General features: G+C 39.1%; 1 protein-coding gene across 20 annotated transcripts in view; it reads right to left on the reverse strand.

Moving 5' to 3' along the window:
* Window positions 1-16,797, reverse strand: part of HDAC8 (histone deacetylase 8) — a 243,328-nt gene that overhangs the window by 133,027 nt on the left and 93,504 nt on the right. For 17 of the 20 annotated variants that reach the window (NR_199815.1, NR_051952.2, NR_199812.1 and 14 more), the window contains one exon: window positions 2,017-2,189. Coding sequence is in view for 15 of the 20 variants with exons in the window: in XM_047442255.1 (XP_047298211.1) it covers window positions 2,017-2,189 (173 nt within the window). In the remaining 5 variants the exon portion in view is untranslated. Of the gene's footprint in view, window positions 1-2,016; window positions 2,190-10,873; window positions 12,188-16,797 lie in introns of those variants that run through there. The other 3 variants (NM_001166448.2, NM_001410730.1, NM_001166419.2) reach the window with 1 other exon arrangement.

The raw sequence follows: 16,797 nt of genomic DNA on the forward strand, positions 1-16,797 counted from the left end.
TAAAAACCCAGGAAAGAGAAAAGGAAAATGCTGACAAAAACAGACTTCCTTCTTTTGATGTCAGCATTCCTTTTTGCCACAAAACATAGGCCTGGTGGCAGAGATCAAAGAGAGTGAGATGAGGAAGGGACCGTTGATGGATGCTCTGACCCATCTCGTCAGGTCCTGTCACAGTCACCCAACGGCCATATTATACTGGCTAATAATCAGCACATTTTTGTGCTGAATAGATGTGCTCTGCCATGCAAGCATTAGAACATTGGCCTTTAGCTAAATTCTAAGAGTATAAGGGTAAAATGGAATGATTTCCTAATCTCAACGCAGCCTAAGGGAAACAGAATCTGGTCTATTTTAGATAGGGTGACCATATAAATTATCATACAAAATGGTATACTTTTAAAAGTAAAAGAGGGCACTATTAATCATTACACTGGGATAACATGTATAAACTCGGACATATGGTCACTCTTTTCTTAAGCTTTTCTACTATTTGAAAGGTCACGGATGCTTTGACTATGTCTTTTAGGTCTCAATGGGGTCCACTGAAGCTTGGGGATGTGGCTCCCTCTACGAATTGTGTGTTAATAGGGCTGAGAATTTCAGTTAGATAGTACAGGTATTACTTTAAATACTCCTGACACGGAAAAATCTGACTTTATAAGATAGACTTATTCGGCATGAGTATTTAATTTCAAAAAAAGGTCACTATAGGTTTTGCTTAGGTAGTAAACTATCTCTGGTACATATACAATATGATTTGATTTGCAAAAATTCCATTTATGCACAAGCGTTTTCAGGAATACACATATTTCCTAAGAAGACTTATATATTCAAATGTCAAAACTTTGGGCTGAGAAAACAAAAAGGCTTTAGAGAATGCTAACAGGCTTTTAATGTAAAGATTATAGCCTCAAACAAAAGTCAGGTTCTAACCTGATGTATATGGTAGAAAGGTCTCTTCCCCCTCCTTAGCTGTACCTGTATCATAATCACCATCCTTAGTGCTGTCAAGAAAAGTAATATGTCACACAGTACTTATCAATTTTATCTTTTTCTTCAGTTGAAGTTAATATATTTCTTGCCAGCTTTTCATAAGAGGTTGTCTCTTGTAAGTACCTTTAATTTTGAGCCTTCTAGAGTTTGAGGCTGCCAAAGGACAAGGCTTGTGTACTTGTGTTGAATGCCCACTCATTTAATAAGGCCTCCCCACAATTTCCTCTAACAGGTTGACAAAACAACCAACAATTAGCTCTTCTATAATATATGCATTTTAAGCTCAATCTGCTTGACCATGTTATTTTAACACACCAATCTATTCATCCAATGAAATAAAGATTGTGCCAGGTAGGTAGACAGAAGATTTTAAGCAAGGCATCTTTAAAGGTGGTAGATGTTGTGACAAGTTCTTTTCTCAAATGTTTAAATGCTACTATTGAATAGACCGGGCTTTCTTTTGGCTAAGTAATACAAATAATCAGCACACACCAAAGGCAAGAATGCCCAAGAGACTATAGATCTCTCAATTTTGCTTCACTGTAACAAATCCATGCTTTTTGGGGGAAGAGGCATTCTTGAATTCAGCTTATTTAATTAATCTGTGTGTTTACTACTTACATACAAGTAGAGTTGGAATTTCAGTGACATGTTCCCAAAAGATGATTATTAGAACTGAAAATCAAAGACTACACTGAGAGAAGGTGGATCAAAGTCTACCGGGGTTAACATCCTCTATTTTTAAGATTCGAGGTAACCTTTAACCAGAGGATCTTTGCTTCAGGAATTGAAATTTAGACTTTAGAGTGCCAAGAAGTCAATGCACATGCTAAGCTGAGAAGTGTGTCAGAGTATTTTCTTATTCTGAACTGTGGAGGTGGCAGATTTTATTGACTCAGGCTTCTGGGCCTCAGGTAGGTTGGTATTATCCAATGCAAGAAAGCCAAGTTTTCCAAGTTCAGTGCCAATGGACAAAATGTGGAGGAAGGTCAACAAATTCTGGTAACCTTCCTTTATACTCACCTCCTCCCAAAATGAGTGTTGCCAACTGCCATTGAAGGATGTACTTAAGACACTTGCCAATTCCCACTGGAGTCATGTTAAAGGAGCACATGGGATCCCCAGCTATTGTGTCAGCTCCCAGCTGTAAGACCACTGCTTTGGGATTAAAGGCTTGGTATACTTCCTTTAGTACACTATATAAAATAGAAAGGATACAAAATATAGGTCAGTTTGGTCTAGGGGTAGTGGTGGTGGTAGGGCAAGTTGGAGGTATAATTGAATTAGCAAATAGTTAAGGGAAAAAAACACAACCTGTCAAACTCATCAAACTTTCCACTTAAGAGAGGTGAATCAGACTACATGTAAATGATACCTTAATAAACCTGACTTACAAAAAAATTTCCCTCTACTTCCACGCTCATCAATGAACACATCTGCCCTTCTGTTTTAAAATTCAGACTTCCTTGAAATATTCATATTAATTTAACTTCAACAGCCATAGGACACAGTATACACATTTAGTCCATTTTAAAATCTGGGAAAATAAGATATACATTGAATAGTCATTAAGGGTTCTTTCTGGTTATTTAAGATGAGGACCATACTTGGAGTTTAATCACCTGGTTCTCAGTGGGGGCTGGGGAGAAGAATTACATGCTTTACAAGCATAGATGTTATCAGGTAAGTTTTTATTATGTAAAAGGACTAAAGGGTTATGAAATGCAATCCTCCCTAATGCATATGTAACCAGGGTATTGTAGGGAAGGTAACTGTAACAACTGATCTAAAATTATAAACCTGAAAGCACCCTAAAGAACAAATTGTAGTGTAACAATGAGCATAATTTTGGATAGAATCATTCAGTGCTACCTACTCAACCTAGCTGTTTTTTTTTTTTTGATAGAACCCTTGTAGATGAAAAGGAAGATGTCAATGTGACAGATGACCTTAGTCAAGCTTTCAGTATTATCATTAATTGAACACTGGCAGTGTCCAGAATGCATTTTTAGGAGTTATAAAGTCCCTGCTCTCAAGGGGCTTACAATCTACTTTCCAGACAGAATATATACCAGCCCTCAAGGGCCTGAATAACTCTTACAGAGACGTATAAACAAGTGTAAATTAAGATACATCAGAGTTGAGAAAATCCAGAGTCAAAAAGTGATAAAAAATGTTGAGGTTAATGACCTCTTCATAATCAACATGTCAAATTACACCAGTGCAGCAAGACCAGAAAAATCCCAGATCTTTCTGAAAATGCAAAAAGAATTCAGGGACATAAAAAGCCATTCTCCCAAATCCATATGTAACAAGGGTATTGAAATTATTGAATAGTGCTCACCCACAGAGGCATTCTTTGACTCAAAGGACTGTTTTGTTTTGATTTCTCATCTACACAGAAAAATATTGAGTGATCATAGAGATTATAAGAATATTATAAAAATAATGACATATGATCCTTAATACAAGGATACTTGGGCCTATTCTCTCTTTCATATGCTTATCTCCTGGGTGCAGAGGGAAGATAAGCTAACTGAATAGTTTAGACGACATTTATTGAGCATCTACATGTACAGAGCACCCTATTAGCTGCTGCTGGGAGATACAGAGGAAGGCGTGATGTCTGTTCTAAAAAGGTTTCTAGCTTAAGGAGGAGGAGGGGGAGGCAACAAGACTAATGTTCTGTTCATTCATTCTTTCCCTCACTTACCACACATTTTCCTGAGCATCCACTGTGTGCCCAGCATGTAACTGTACCAGATGCTGCAGGAATAAAGATGAATATGACACAACCCCTAGCTTCATGTAGCCCGGAAATAGAGGGAAAGACACAGACTATGTCAATAAATAATTAAAATACAACGACAAATGAAGTGTCAGAAATGGCACAGAGTAGGGAATAATCAACTTTTCCTGAGGATTTTAAAAAGGCTCTACAGACGTAACTCTTGACTTAGGTCCTAAAAGATGAGAACTACACTGAGCCAACTCTCAAGATGGCTAAAATGAAAAATGGTAACAACGATTCCTGGTAAGGATGTGGAGAAACTAGATCACAAACATATCTTGCTGGTGGGAACGTAAAATGGTGTAGCCACTCTGGAAAATAGTTTGGCAGTTCCTGTTAAGACTAAAAATAGACTTACCATATGACCTAGTAATTGTACTCTTGGGCAATGTATTTCAGATAATTTAAGACTTATTTTTGTGTAGGAACTTGTACATGAATGTTCGTAGCAGCTCAATTTGTAATAGCCAAACATTGGAAACAACCCAGATGTATTTCAACAGATAAATGGTTAAACAAACTGGTACAACCATGCCACTGGAATATTGCTCATTAATAAAAAGGAGCAAACTATTGATACATGCAAAAAATCTGGGTGGCTCTCAAGGGAATTGTGCTGGGTCAAGAAGGCCAATCTCAAAAGATTATCTGCTGCATGAGCCCATTCATATTACATTTGCAAAATAATAATTACAGAGGTGGAGAATAGATTAGTTGGTTGCCAGGGGTTAGGGATGGATGTAGCTATAAAGGCGTAGCATGAGGGAACCTTGTGGTGATGGTACTGATCTGTATCTTGATTGTGGTTGTAGTTATGCAAGGCTACATGTGTGATAAAATTGCATAGAGCTACACACACACACACACACACACACACACACACACGTGCATATATAGCTGGTGAAATCTAAATAAGCTCTATGGCTTGTACCAATGTCCAATATCAACTTCTTCATTTTGATGCCGTAATATAATTGTATAAGATGTCAACATTGGGGGAGGCTGGAAGAAGGGTACATGGGACTTCCCTGTACATTTTTTTGCAACCTTCTGTGAATCTGTGATTATTGTGCAATAAAAGTTTTTTTAAAAGTATAGAAATTTATAGGTATGTAGGGTGACGATAGGGAAGTTGGAGGCAGAGATGATTGTGGGGTTACTGGTAGGGGACTAAGTCCGGAGAAGGAAGTATGCATGCAGAAACATGAAGGCTTGACAGCGGGAGTGGTGGGATGAGGCTAGAGAGGTAAACGTGGGCTATATATGCCCGGCAGGCTAATGAGTTTGGACTTTTGCTTAAAGGGTACAAAATGTCTCAAACATTGTGTGGGTGCATGTGTGCATCTGTGTGTGTGTGCTTTGAAGGCATAATTAGATTTCCATTTTAAAGATACTCAAGCTCTATTGTAGGATACCCTGAAGGTTGATGAGGGCTTTTGCAACCATCCAGGCCAGTGACAGCAAGGATAAGGAGGAAGAGATAGATTTGGGAGAAATTTATATGGTAGAATTGATCGGGTAATACAGAGTGACACACAAGAAAAGCATATACATATAACATTTATGAGTGTTTGGTATTTAGGAGAGAGGAAAGGATAAAGGCAGGCAGGTGTTTCTGGAGTAGTTGTTTTGATTATAGCCAGGTAGGGAAAATGAGTCCTCAAGGAGTTCTGATAAAGAGGGCTCTGGATGGGTATTGAAAAGGTTGATAAGAAGCTTTCAGAAAGGTAGGGCATCTTGTACATAGTGCAAACTTCAAAGCAACTGAAGTAAGGGCAGCTTACAGAGGGCTGGATTGTGAACACTTTTAAATTCAAGACTGGAAGTTTTCATTTGATTTGACAGTCAAATGGAAACCATTGGAGAAGTAAGAGGTAAGTACTAATGTTGCTGAAAAATTATGCTTAGGAACTTAGCTTTTTGCTCTTGCATGTAGGGTCAACGTGACGAAGTCAACCCCACAGGGGTTGGCAAAAAGGGTATTGAAGCATTCTAGTCATGATGGCAGCAGGAAGCAAGGTAAGGTAAATTTGGAAAAACATTGGGAGGGCTAATTGACAGAGTAGGAGTGGAGCATCAAAGAAGAAAACACTGTGCCAATTCCTCCAGAATTCCCAGGACGGAAAAAAAAATTGGAATATTATTTTTCCTATTGCCACTTCCAAATCTAACATTCTTTCCTCTCATCAATCGCTCCCTCTTTTGAGTCAATGTCATTTGATAATATTACTCAAATACTATGAAAGTTCTTATCTTTCACCTCCCTTGGGGGTTTTAGCACCTCGTTCACAATTTTTCTCATTCTGCCTTTCCTTGTCATCATTTTCTGCAGTTCAATATTCATTCCCTCACTCAAACCTTGATTCAAATACTAGAGACACAGAAATAAGCAATACTCAGGAAGCTTCTGGTCCACTAGGGGAGGAAAACAGGAAAACAAGTAACTGTGATAAGTGCTATAATATTCATTCATTCATTCATTTCATTCATTCATTCATTCAACAAATGTTAATTGAATGCCTGTTATAGGTACTACGTTGGGCAATGGGTTCACAGTATTGAACAAGAGACCTATTTTTTCCCCCTGCCTGTTCTAACTCTCTAACATCAGAGTTCCTTTATCTTTTCAACAATAGTGATGTCCACCTGCACTCTACTTTATTCCTTGTCATAGACACACTTTGGGGCCTGATAAAGAAGCACTTGGAATTGCTCTTCTTCTAAGGCCCTGAACTCTGAACTAGTTTCTCCATCTACAATTTTCTATCTTTCCAATTCCTATTGTATTTGGTCTTTATTCTTACTGTAACTCCTATTCCCTAGTTTTTTTTTTCCTATTTTCAAAGTACACCATCCTATAAATTTTTTGTCTTTTGAGACAGGGTCTCAGTCTCTCACCCAGGCTGCAGTGCAGTGGCATGATCATGGTTCACTACAGCTTTGACCTCCTGGGTTCAAGCAGTCCTCCCACCTCAGCTTCCCAAGTTGCTGGGACTATAGGCCACCACATCCAGCTAATTTTTAATTTTTTTTGTTGCCCAGCCTAGACTCGAACTCCTGGGCTCAAGCGATCCTCCCACCTTGGCCTCCCAAAATGCTGGGATTACAGGCGTGAGCCATCATGCCCAGCTCAGCCTATCTTTTGACTTCATGTGCTTCATTACTTATTCTGGAGAATATGATTAGTCATTTTGAAAACTTACTTTAGCACCCTAGTTCCCTCACACCTTTGCCATTTTTGCCTTGTCAGTCCTTAAACCCTTGGATGAACCACACCATCAGAATTTTCTCTCTGTTCTGCTGGAGGAAGCTGAGAAATCAAGTGAATTGCTTCCATTAGAGTTTATGCTTATAACTTCAATTCAACAAATTCTACAAACATTAATTGAGTGATTAATATGGGCCACACACTCTCTACAGCTTGGCCACGTTTCACTTTACCTCCAAGTGATGAAGAATTACATTTCTTACAGCAGCTAGTCTAATTTTTGAAAAATACAAATATAATGAGAGGACATTCTTGATATAAAAAATTAAACATGGCCGGTCACGGTGGCTCATACCTGTAATCCAGCACTTTGGGAGGCCGAGGCGGGCAGATCACTTGAGGTCAGGAGTTTGAGACCAGCCTGGCCAACATGATGAAACCTCATCTCTACTAAAAATACAAAATTAGCTGGGCGTGGTGGTGGGCACCTGTAATCCCAGCTACTTGGGAGGCTGAGGCAGGAGAATCGCATGAACCTGGGAGGCGGAGGTTGCAGTGAGCCAAGATCGCACTACTGCCCTCCAGCCTGGGCCACAGAGTGAGACACAGTCTCAAATACATACATACATACATACATACATACATACATACATACATACATACATACATAAATACAACATAAAGGTCTATCAAATAAAAGTGAAAAATCTCCCTATTTCCATCTCAACTTCCACCCCAGAGGTAACTGCTGATTCATAGTTTGTTGTGTATCTTTCTAGATCAAACTTTTTCTGTCTCATACTGGACGGAACTGGTTGAAGCTATGTGTAATGAGTGCCTTTACCTCTTTTCTCTACCTGAAAATGTCCTCCATCATATTTCTTCTACCTTTCCAGCTTAATTTATCCCTGTGAGCACTAAATCCTCTTTTGTTGCTTTAAGGGTCATGTATCACCAATGAGCTCTTTTCTTACATCTTCAGTCCCTGAATTCCTGCTGATTCAGTTCCTGTAGGTTATAAGTTAAAAGTCGCCCATCTATCCCTCCCTTTCTTCTCAGCATTGTCCAACTTATCCACATACTGGCCGCCTATACATACTTCTTGCAATCCAGGATCTGATCTTACTGCTCTCCTGAAATTGCTCTCTTAAAGGTAGAGAGACCTCTCGATTACCATATCCAAAAGCCTTTTCTCTGTTATCTTTTTCAAACTTCTTAGAAGCAACTGACAGTTGATTCTACTAAAAAATCTGCAGCTGGTTATCAGGGGCTACAGTTCCAGGAAAAAAATATTTTAAAAGTAATTTTAAAATAAGTTTATTGATCTTCATATACTATACAATTCCCTCATTTAAAGTGTACAATTCAATGGCTTTTAGCATATTCAAAGAGTTGTGCACACAACATCACAATGAATTTTAGAATATTTTCATTGTCCTCAAAAGAAACCCTGAACCCATTACCAGTCACTATCTATTCCCAACACTCTCCAACCCCCAGCCCCTGGCAACCACTAATATACTTTCTGTCTCTATGAATTTGTCTAATTTTGACCTTTCATATCAGTGGAATCATATAATGTTTTCTTTTGTGACTGTCTTCAAGGTTCATTTGTGTTGTAGCATGTATCAGTACTTCATTCCTTTTTATGGTTGAATAATATCCAATTGCATGGATAGACCACATTTTATCCATTCATCAGTTGATGTTATTTCCACTTTTTGGCTGATATTAATAATGCCACTATAGTATACTACTACAGATATACATGTACAAATTTTGTGTAGACACATTTTCAATTCTCTTGGGGATATATACCTAGGAGTAGAATTGCTGGGTCATGTGGCAACTCTATGTTTAACCATTTGAGGAAGAGCTAGACTGTTTTCCACAGTGGGCCACACCATTTTACATCCCCATCAGCAATGTATGAAGGTTCCAATTTCTCCACATCTTCACCAACACTTGCTATTTTTTGTTTTGTTTCATTTTAAATTAATTATAACCATCTTAGTGGGTGTGAAGTAGCATCTCACTGTGGTTTTGATTTGCATTTTTCTGATTAGTAATAAAGTTGAATATCTTTTCATGTGCTTATTGGATATTTGTGTATCTTCTTTGAAATAATATCTATTTCAACCCTTTGCCCATTTTCAAACCGGGTTGTCTTTTTAATATGGAGTTGTAAGAGTTCTTAAAATATTCTAAATATGTCTCTTATCAGACACATGATTTGCAAATATCTACTCCCATTCTGTGGGTTATCTTTGCACTCTCTTGATAGTGTCCTTTGCAGCACAAAGTTTTAAATTTTGACGAAATTCAATTTATCTATTTCTTCTTTTTTTGCTTATGTTTTTGGTGTCATATCCAAGAGACCACTTCCTATTTCAACATCATGAAAATTTACATCTATGTTTTCATCTAAGAGTTTTATAGTTTTAGCTCTTACATTTAAGTCTTTGATCTATTTTAAATTAATTTTTATATATGGTGCGAGGTAAGGGTCCAACTTTATTTTTTATTTTATTTTATTTATTTTTTTTTTTTTGAGACGGAGTCTCGCTCTGTCGCCCAGGCTGGAGTGCAGTGGCGGGATCTCGGCTCACTGCAAGCTCCGCCTCCCGGGTTCACGCCATTCTCCTGCCTCAGCCTCCCAAGTAGCTGGGACTACAGGCGCCCGCCACTATGCCCGGCTAATTTTTTGTATTTTTAGTAGAGACGGGGTTTCACCGTTTTAGCCGGGATGGTCTCGATCTCCTGACCTCGTGATCCGCCCGCCTCGGCCTCCCAAAGTGCTGGGATTACAGGCGTGAGCCACCGCGCCCGGCCCAACTTTATTCTTTTGTATATTGATACATCCAGTTGTCCTATCATCATTTATTGAAAAGACTGTCCTCTCCCCCATTGAATGGTCTTGGCCCCTTTGTGTAAAATCAATTGACTATAATTGTGGGGGTTAATTTCTGGACTCTGAACTCTTCCATTAATCTATATGTCTGTCCTCATGCCAGCAAGATGCAGCTTTGATTACTGTAGTTTTGTTGTAAGTTTTAAAGTTGAGAAGTTTGAGTTTTCTAACTTTGTCCTTCTGTTTCGAGATTGCTTTTGCTATTCTGGGTTGAATTTCTGGATACATTTTAGGATCAGATATGTCAATTTGTGAAGAGAAGTCAGCTGTGATTTACAGCTCCATTTTGACTATGCTAAACCTGTCATCTTACCTCTTCTATTCCCTGACTCTGTTAATGATATCCATCTTTTCAGTCACCCATGTTCAAAACTGAGGAATTTGAAAGTCACCCTTTCAGATTCCTCCCTTTTCCTGTTCCTTTCCAATTACCAGTCTTCCACCAATCTCTCTCCTATTCCTTCCTCTCCACTTCCACTGCAGTACTCTAATCTAGCCCTTATGACCACCTTCATGGATTACACCAATAGCTTCCTAATCAGTTTCCCTGCCTCAAGTCTCTTCCCTCTCCAATCCTTCACACACAAAACCATCAAATTAATTTTCCTTAGGGATATAGTTTTGATAAAGTTACTTCTTAATTCAAAAACCTTTAATGTCCCTCCATTGTCTTTAGAGAACACTTAATATTCTTAGGCTATGATCCAAAGTGCTTTGTAATCTGACTATGGCCTACCTTTAAAATCTTATTTTCCAATAACACCTTAACCTATATTATTCTATAGGCAAACTGAACTCTCCATTGTTCACCTCACTCACCTCGTATTTTCTTGCAAGTATGCCTTTTGTCGTGTACTTACTTGTGCCTGAAAGTTACCTTTCTACATGTCTACATCACAGCCATTCTTTAAAGGCTAGCTTAAATTTTATCTCCTCCATGAATGAGAATGATAATAATGATGACAACAGCTAACATTTATTGAGAACTTTATTCAGAATAGAGCACTGTTCTATGTATTTTACATGTCTTAACTCATTTGACCCTCATAATAATTCATAACAGGTATTATTTTTAATCCTATTTTACAGATGGGGAAACTGCCATACAGAGAGGTTAAGAAATCTGTACAAAATCACACAGCTATTAAGTGGCAGAGCTGGTTTTTGAACCCAGGCATCCAGGCACCAGAGTTTTTGCTCTAAACCACTACAGTATATCTGCTTCCATGACTTACTGAGCTCCTATGCATCAGATACTATGTCAGCCACTTTACCCACATTATGTCAATATAACAGCAGATGCTGTTGCCAAAACTTTACTGGGAAGAGTGTTAATCTTCCCAAGCAAGCTTTGATCTTATGATTCCCTCATTCTAAAACCTTCAGTGGCTCCCAAAATGTTTACAGAATATGGTACAAATTTTCATAGCTAAGAATTCCAGCTCTTCCGTGATGTGGTTCCCACCCAGGTTTCCAATCTTCTTTGCAACTTCTCCTCCATGCACTTTACAGTCCAGCCAAACTAAAACCACTGCTATTCTTTGTACATAGCTCAGTCTCTCCCAACTTTGATCTTGCTGTACCCTGTGTGTAGAACATCCTTCCCTACAATCTCTGTATATTCAAACTTGACCCAGATTTTATAAACACTCATATACATTCACACACTTTGTAAAGATAGAGTAATTAGCTACCCTTTAGAAACCAGATCAAATGTTACCTCCTCAATTACGCCTTTTTCTGAAGTATTTTCTCTCTTTGAATACCCACAGCATTCTATCTCTTATGGTTCTTACAATTTTCTATGTTTTATTTATTTAAATGTGTGTGAATATGAAAATCAATCTCTATTTATTTATCTAACATTTAAAAATTTCCACTAACTTCCTCGAGGGTAGAATCAATACTTTATACATAGTAGGCATTCAATAAATAGTCATTAAATGAATACATGAATGAAATGTCACTCCAGATTGCTTTTGGGAAAGTTTCCCTAACCACTGTAACAGTACTGTTTGCTACACTGCAAATCATTAATTTTTCGTTTTGTGAAAGTATAAAATCTCTTATCCAGAAAGGAGGGGGAGGACAGGCATCTCTTTATACTACATTAGTAACTTCCCTATAAACATACAAGATATTCATTTAAAATGCAGTTTTCTTGATGAGAAACCTGATCCTTCAGTATTCAGCAGTCTAGTTTTCAGACAAGGCTATGCAAATGGGGAAGACAAGCTGCGGCAGCTGCTTCTACAGGCCTGGATTTGGGGCAGGAGGTTCGTACCTGAGGAGGATAAAAGCCAGAGTGGTGACATTAATGATGCTTTTGGATAAAAGAAAAGCCCAAGAACAAAATCGTAGAGTTACTCCCTTTTCTTTGATTCCATCAGGGTAGAACACAGCTTCTACTGTGTGCCTTTGAGATCTTTCACTGGTGCTTCTTTACCTTTAATATCAGGGGCTGAACATGTTTTGTGGTTTTTTTGTTATTTAGATAATCAATATCCTAAAAGATTCATCTCAGGGCAATGGGATGCCAGAGCAATGGTGTTATAGTCACCCTTAACCGATACTGGTGGTGGGGTCTGGTAACCCTAACTTGTCCCTCTAGCAAGACCTCTGATGGGTTCATGCTCCCAGAAGGTTTAGTCTCCTGACTTTCTAGATTGCGCACCAGTCTAAACCAGCCTTGTCATCTTCATGCTTTCCAACAGACACTCTCAGCACCCTCTAGAGACTCCCTCAATAGAGATTAAAGAATGAGAAATTCAAAGTTGAAAAACCAAGAAGGGTAGGATGCAGAAGGAGAGAAGAGAAAAATATTTGCTACTAACGCTTTGAATTCTCAATGTCAGCCTGAGAAAAGTTATTGCCAGCAGCAAAACCCCTTTCTAAGACATAAATTTTAAACCTATTGCATTTGATGGGATTGAGAGGCAGACTGTGTTAAGGACCCAAAGTATTACTAGTCAGTCCCAAATGGGAGCCGTTCAACTTTCCATAGGTATGTTTTCTCTAAATTCTCTCAATCCTATCTGAGCTCAGGTACTGCTGACTCATTCTGCAACAACTCAACCTGCCAGGGGATGCAGCATATGGTAAATGCCTCAGTGACTTCTGAATATCTATTACAAATGGTTCAGGGATGCAGGGATTTGGGAGGAGGGAGGCTGCCTTGCAGTGAGCATGATGTGTCATTTTGTTGGAGAACATGGGTGCCTCTTGGACATATTCAGAAGACATTTAATTTTCTGTAAGTTTCTTTTTCTGCTTTTAGCATCAAACAAGCTGTACTGGTTCCATGAACTTCTAAAAACATGAAAGAAAAAAAAACAAATCCATAAAATAAAAGACAAACCTTAAACTCCCAAACCAACCAACCAACCAAACAACCAACCAACCAGCAAACAACCTCATATCCCTTTCGCTGTTTTAATTTTCGTAACGTAATTTCTTAACGTTTTAAAGGGGCATCTTTTCTCTCACTGCTGAGTCTATTATATAGAAACATAGATTCTAACGGGCATTCTAACACGCCTTGTAGTAGGTAATTCTACTCATCAATTACGTGTCACCTTGGCAACAGAAAGGGCTGCATACTATTTTTAACATATTATTACTTATCTCTCACTATACCTTTTAGAAGTAAACCATTCTCATTCACACAACGGAAAGTGAGTCATCCAGAATTAAAGTCATCCAGTGTTTTCATGGCACCTTACCAGTGGCCTGAAGTGAATCGTCAGAGCTAGAATTAGAACACTAATTCTAATTCGAATGCAATGCTCTTGTTACTAAATCCCAATGGTCTTTGGCTATCTTCATTCTGAGAGGCCAGAGGACCTAGCAAGCAGAGTGTACATTATCTGGGCAGGGGGTAGGGTGGGCAAAGTGGTAGGCTGGTTTGGAGAGCTAAGCTGAAAAACAAAAAATGGAAGAAGACCTAAAGAATATGAATCCTAAGGCTATCTGTGCTATTTGATCTGGGGTATGTCATTTAACTGCTCTGTAACTACCAGGACTGCTCATAGTGTAGACTGCATTCTGCTCTGTGTCACATCATTTGACCAAATGTCTCATCTGTCCCCCTTTGCAACCCCTACAGCACTCAGTTCAGGGAGAATGCTGAATTTGGAGTCAGATAAGGTTGGATTCAGTGTTTGTATAGCAACTTGGACAAATCACTTCCCTGAACCTCAGTTTCCTTCTCTGTAAAACAATAATATTCTCTCCCTCACAGGGTTATTGTGAGGATTAAATGATATAACATTTGTGAAAGTCTTCTCCCAGCATCAGGCATATAGTAAGCACTCCATAACATTGAATGAATAAATGAATGGCCTCAAGTCAGGCCCTTTGAGTGCTATGTTAATTCTTTCAGCCCACTAGGATACTGGTGAGTTCAGCACAGCACACCAGAGCAGTGACTTCCTGAATAGTATTCTAATGGTCCCCAAAGGCAGAGAGAAATTTCATCGTGTCACTGCCCGGTTATACCTGTTCTGGGAATACAGTAATTCATTTTCCAGTGCTGTCAATCTATTACCTTTCACCAAACACAAAATTCGCTTTAAGAAGGGACAGAAACACAAGTGCCTTTCTGTTATATAGAGGTTGGGAGAATATATTATTAAAATTGAAACCGACTTCTCTGATTTCTTAGGCAAAAAATCAGATTGGAAGCCAAACAGCTATTTGGCCTTTGCAGACCCTGGATAGCGATGCCCTTGGGGGAAAGGGGAGTGTTGGAGTCATTCCAAACTATAGTTAGAACATTTACGTGTATATTTACTGCTTGTGCTTATGCTCTCTGCCTTAGTTTTTACTCTCTAAGCCTTGAAGAATTCACAATTTACCTAGAGCACAGTTTAATACATACGGGTGGGAATAAAGGCCTATATCTCTGTTTCTCATTTCCTAATCACATTTTCTACCTTCCTTATATAACTGATACCTCTTCTTTTCCAATTCAATTGCTCACTTTTCAAGCTTAGGTGAACAATAGTGATTTGTTAACAATAAACATGCTCCTAGCCCTTCCCTCACTCTTCTTTACCCCTGAGGGCCTCCCTAAGATTCAAAGCCGAAATTCTGCCATATAGTTAGCACCTGGTGCAGCTCATCAAAATATAATATCCTTTCCCAGATGATTGGAAATCTCTGCAATGCCGTCATACAATGAGGTGTGCAAGAAAGAGTTTGGGGATTGATTTTCATCATTAACTTGACATTGCATGGTTTTTGTGGGACTTAAAAAGAAATGCATTTTTATTACTTTTAAGTACTGCACATAGAATAACTCCAACTCATCATATTTTAACAGTTATTTTTCTAGGGCAGGATGTATGTTAAACATGCCTATGTTAGAGTGTCTGGTGGATCATTTAGGATCAGTGTCCTGTTGCTTGATGAAATCCAGATCACTTCAATGAAATCCAGATGGGGAAACTGGATCTCTGGCAATGGCTGCCAGATCTTCTCCATATGAAATCTCTCTAGTCTGTATGCAAATTCAAAACTCCATGTCCTGGAAATCCCAAACCAATCAAGTGGCGCTCCGCTTCTTAGTTACTGGACTAAACACAGGGAAGCGATTCATTCTTCCCTGAGGAAATAAGCATTTCTTACATACATCTATCTTGGCACAAAAAGGGCTGGCTAAGCAAATTAATAGTGTAAACAGGACTGCACGGGGGAATGTTTGTCCTACTTAGGAGAATAAACTTTTTATGCACTTTGTGCATATCCACTTACATACAAATAATTGATATGCTAATTACAAATGATTCTTAAAGCCCCTTCCCTGAGGTGCTGTACTATGCTGTTAGTCTAGTTTGAATTACTAGCATGTCCAGTGCTTGAAAGTAATAAAAATGCATTTAAAAATATCCCATGATTCAGACTGGCTTTCCTCTAATTAGGCTGAGTTAGTGAGGCTTGCCTGTATTTAAATAGGATAGATATTTTTCCACTTCACCCCTAACACGTTTAAGATGGTCTCCCTCCCCTCTCTATTCCTCCATCCCCCTCAACACGGAGCTGGCGCACACAAACCCCTTAGCTTCTGGCTCACTATGCAATGGCACTTGCATCACCTCCAGGCAAACACATTGCTTTTAGCCCCTGGCACACACACGTGCCCTTTTGCTTATTAACTTGTTAGCTGGTTATTTGATATAGCTTTTTTTGAGGAGTTCTTTCCTTTAGTCCTTTTTTTTTTTTTTTTTTGACGGAGTCTTGCTCTGTTACCTAGGCTGGAGTGCAGTGGCGTGATCTCGGCTCACTGTAACCTCCGCCTCCTGGGTTTTCAAGCGATTCAATCTGCCTCAGCCTCCCAAGTAGCTGGGACTACAGGCACGCACCACCAAGCCCAGCTAATTTTTGTATTTTTAGTAGAGACGGGGTTTCACCAGATTGGCCAGGCTGGTTTTGAACTCCTGACTTCAAGTGATCTGCCCGCCTCAGCCTCCCAAAATGCTGGGATTACCGGTGTGAGCCACTGTGCTCGGCCCTTTAGTTCTTCTTTAAGTACCAATGGACATGGCTCTTTCCTGGTAGTACAATGGGTTAACAGTGCACACAGAGCAAAGTCCAGCCAACGTAACATCAGGCTTTTTCATCAGGTGCTGGACACTGGGTTTAACTAAATCTCTGTATAGTCCTTGTCAACACATCCCAACGAGGCAGCTCATCAGTCTCGGCAGCTGCTAGGTGTATGGCAATGTCAGGCACAGTCGTTCAAAGCCATAACATGTCGAAGCAAAACGTAAACAGTAGTTTTTCTAGGCTACACTGAAGGGACAGAGCAGTGACTAAAGAATGTGGGAGAGAGAGGATTAGGGCAGAGGTTAGTGGGGTGCATGGTGGAGAGCAGCTGAGAGGAATAATATGAAT

Source organism: Homo sapiens, chromosome X, assembly GCF_000001405.40.
Source record: "Homo sapiens chromosome X, GRCh38.p14 Primary Assembly".
Classification (NCBI taxonomy): domain Eukaryota; kingdom Metazoa; phylum Chordata; class Mammalia; order Primates; family Hominidae; genus Homo; species Homo sapiens.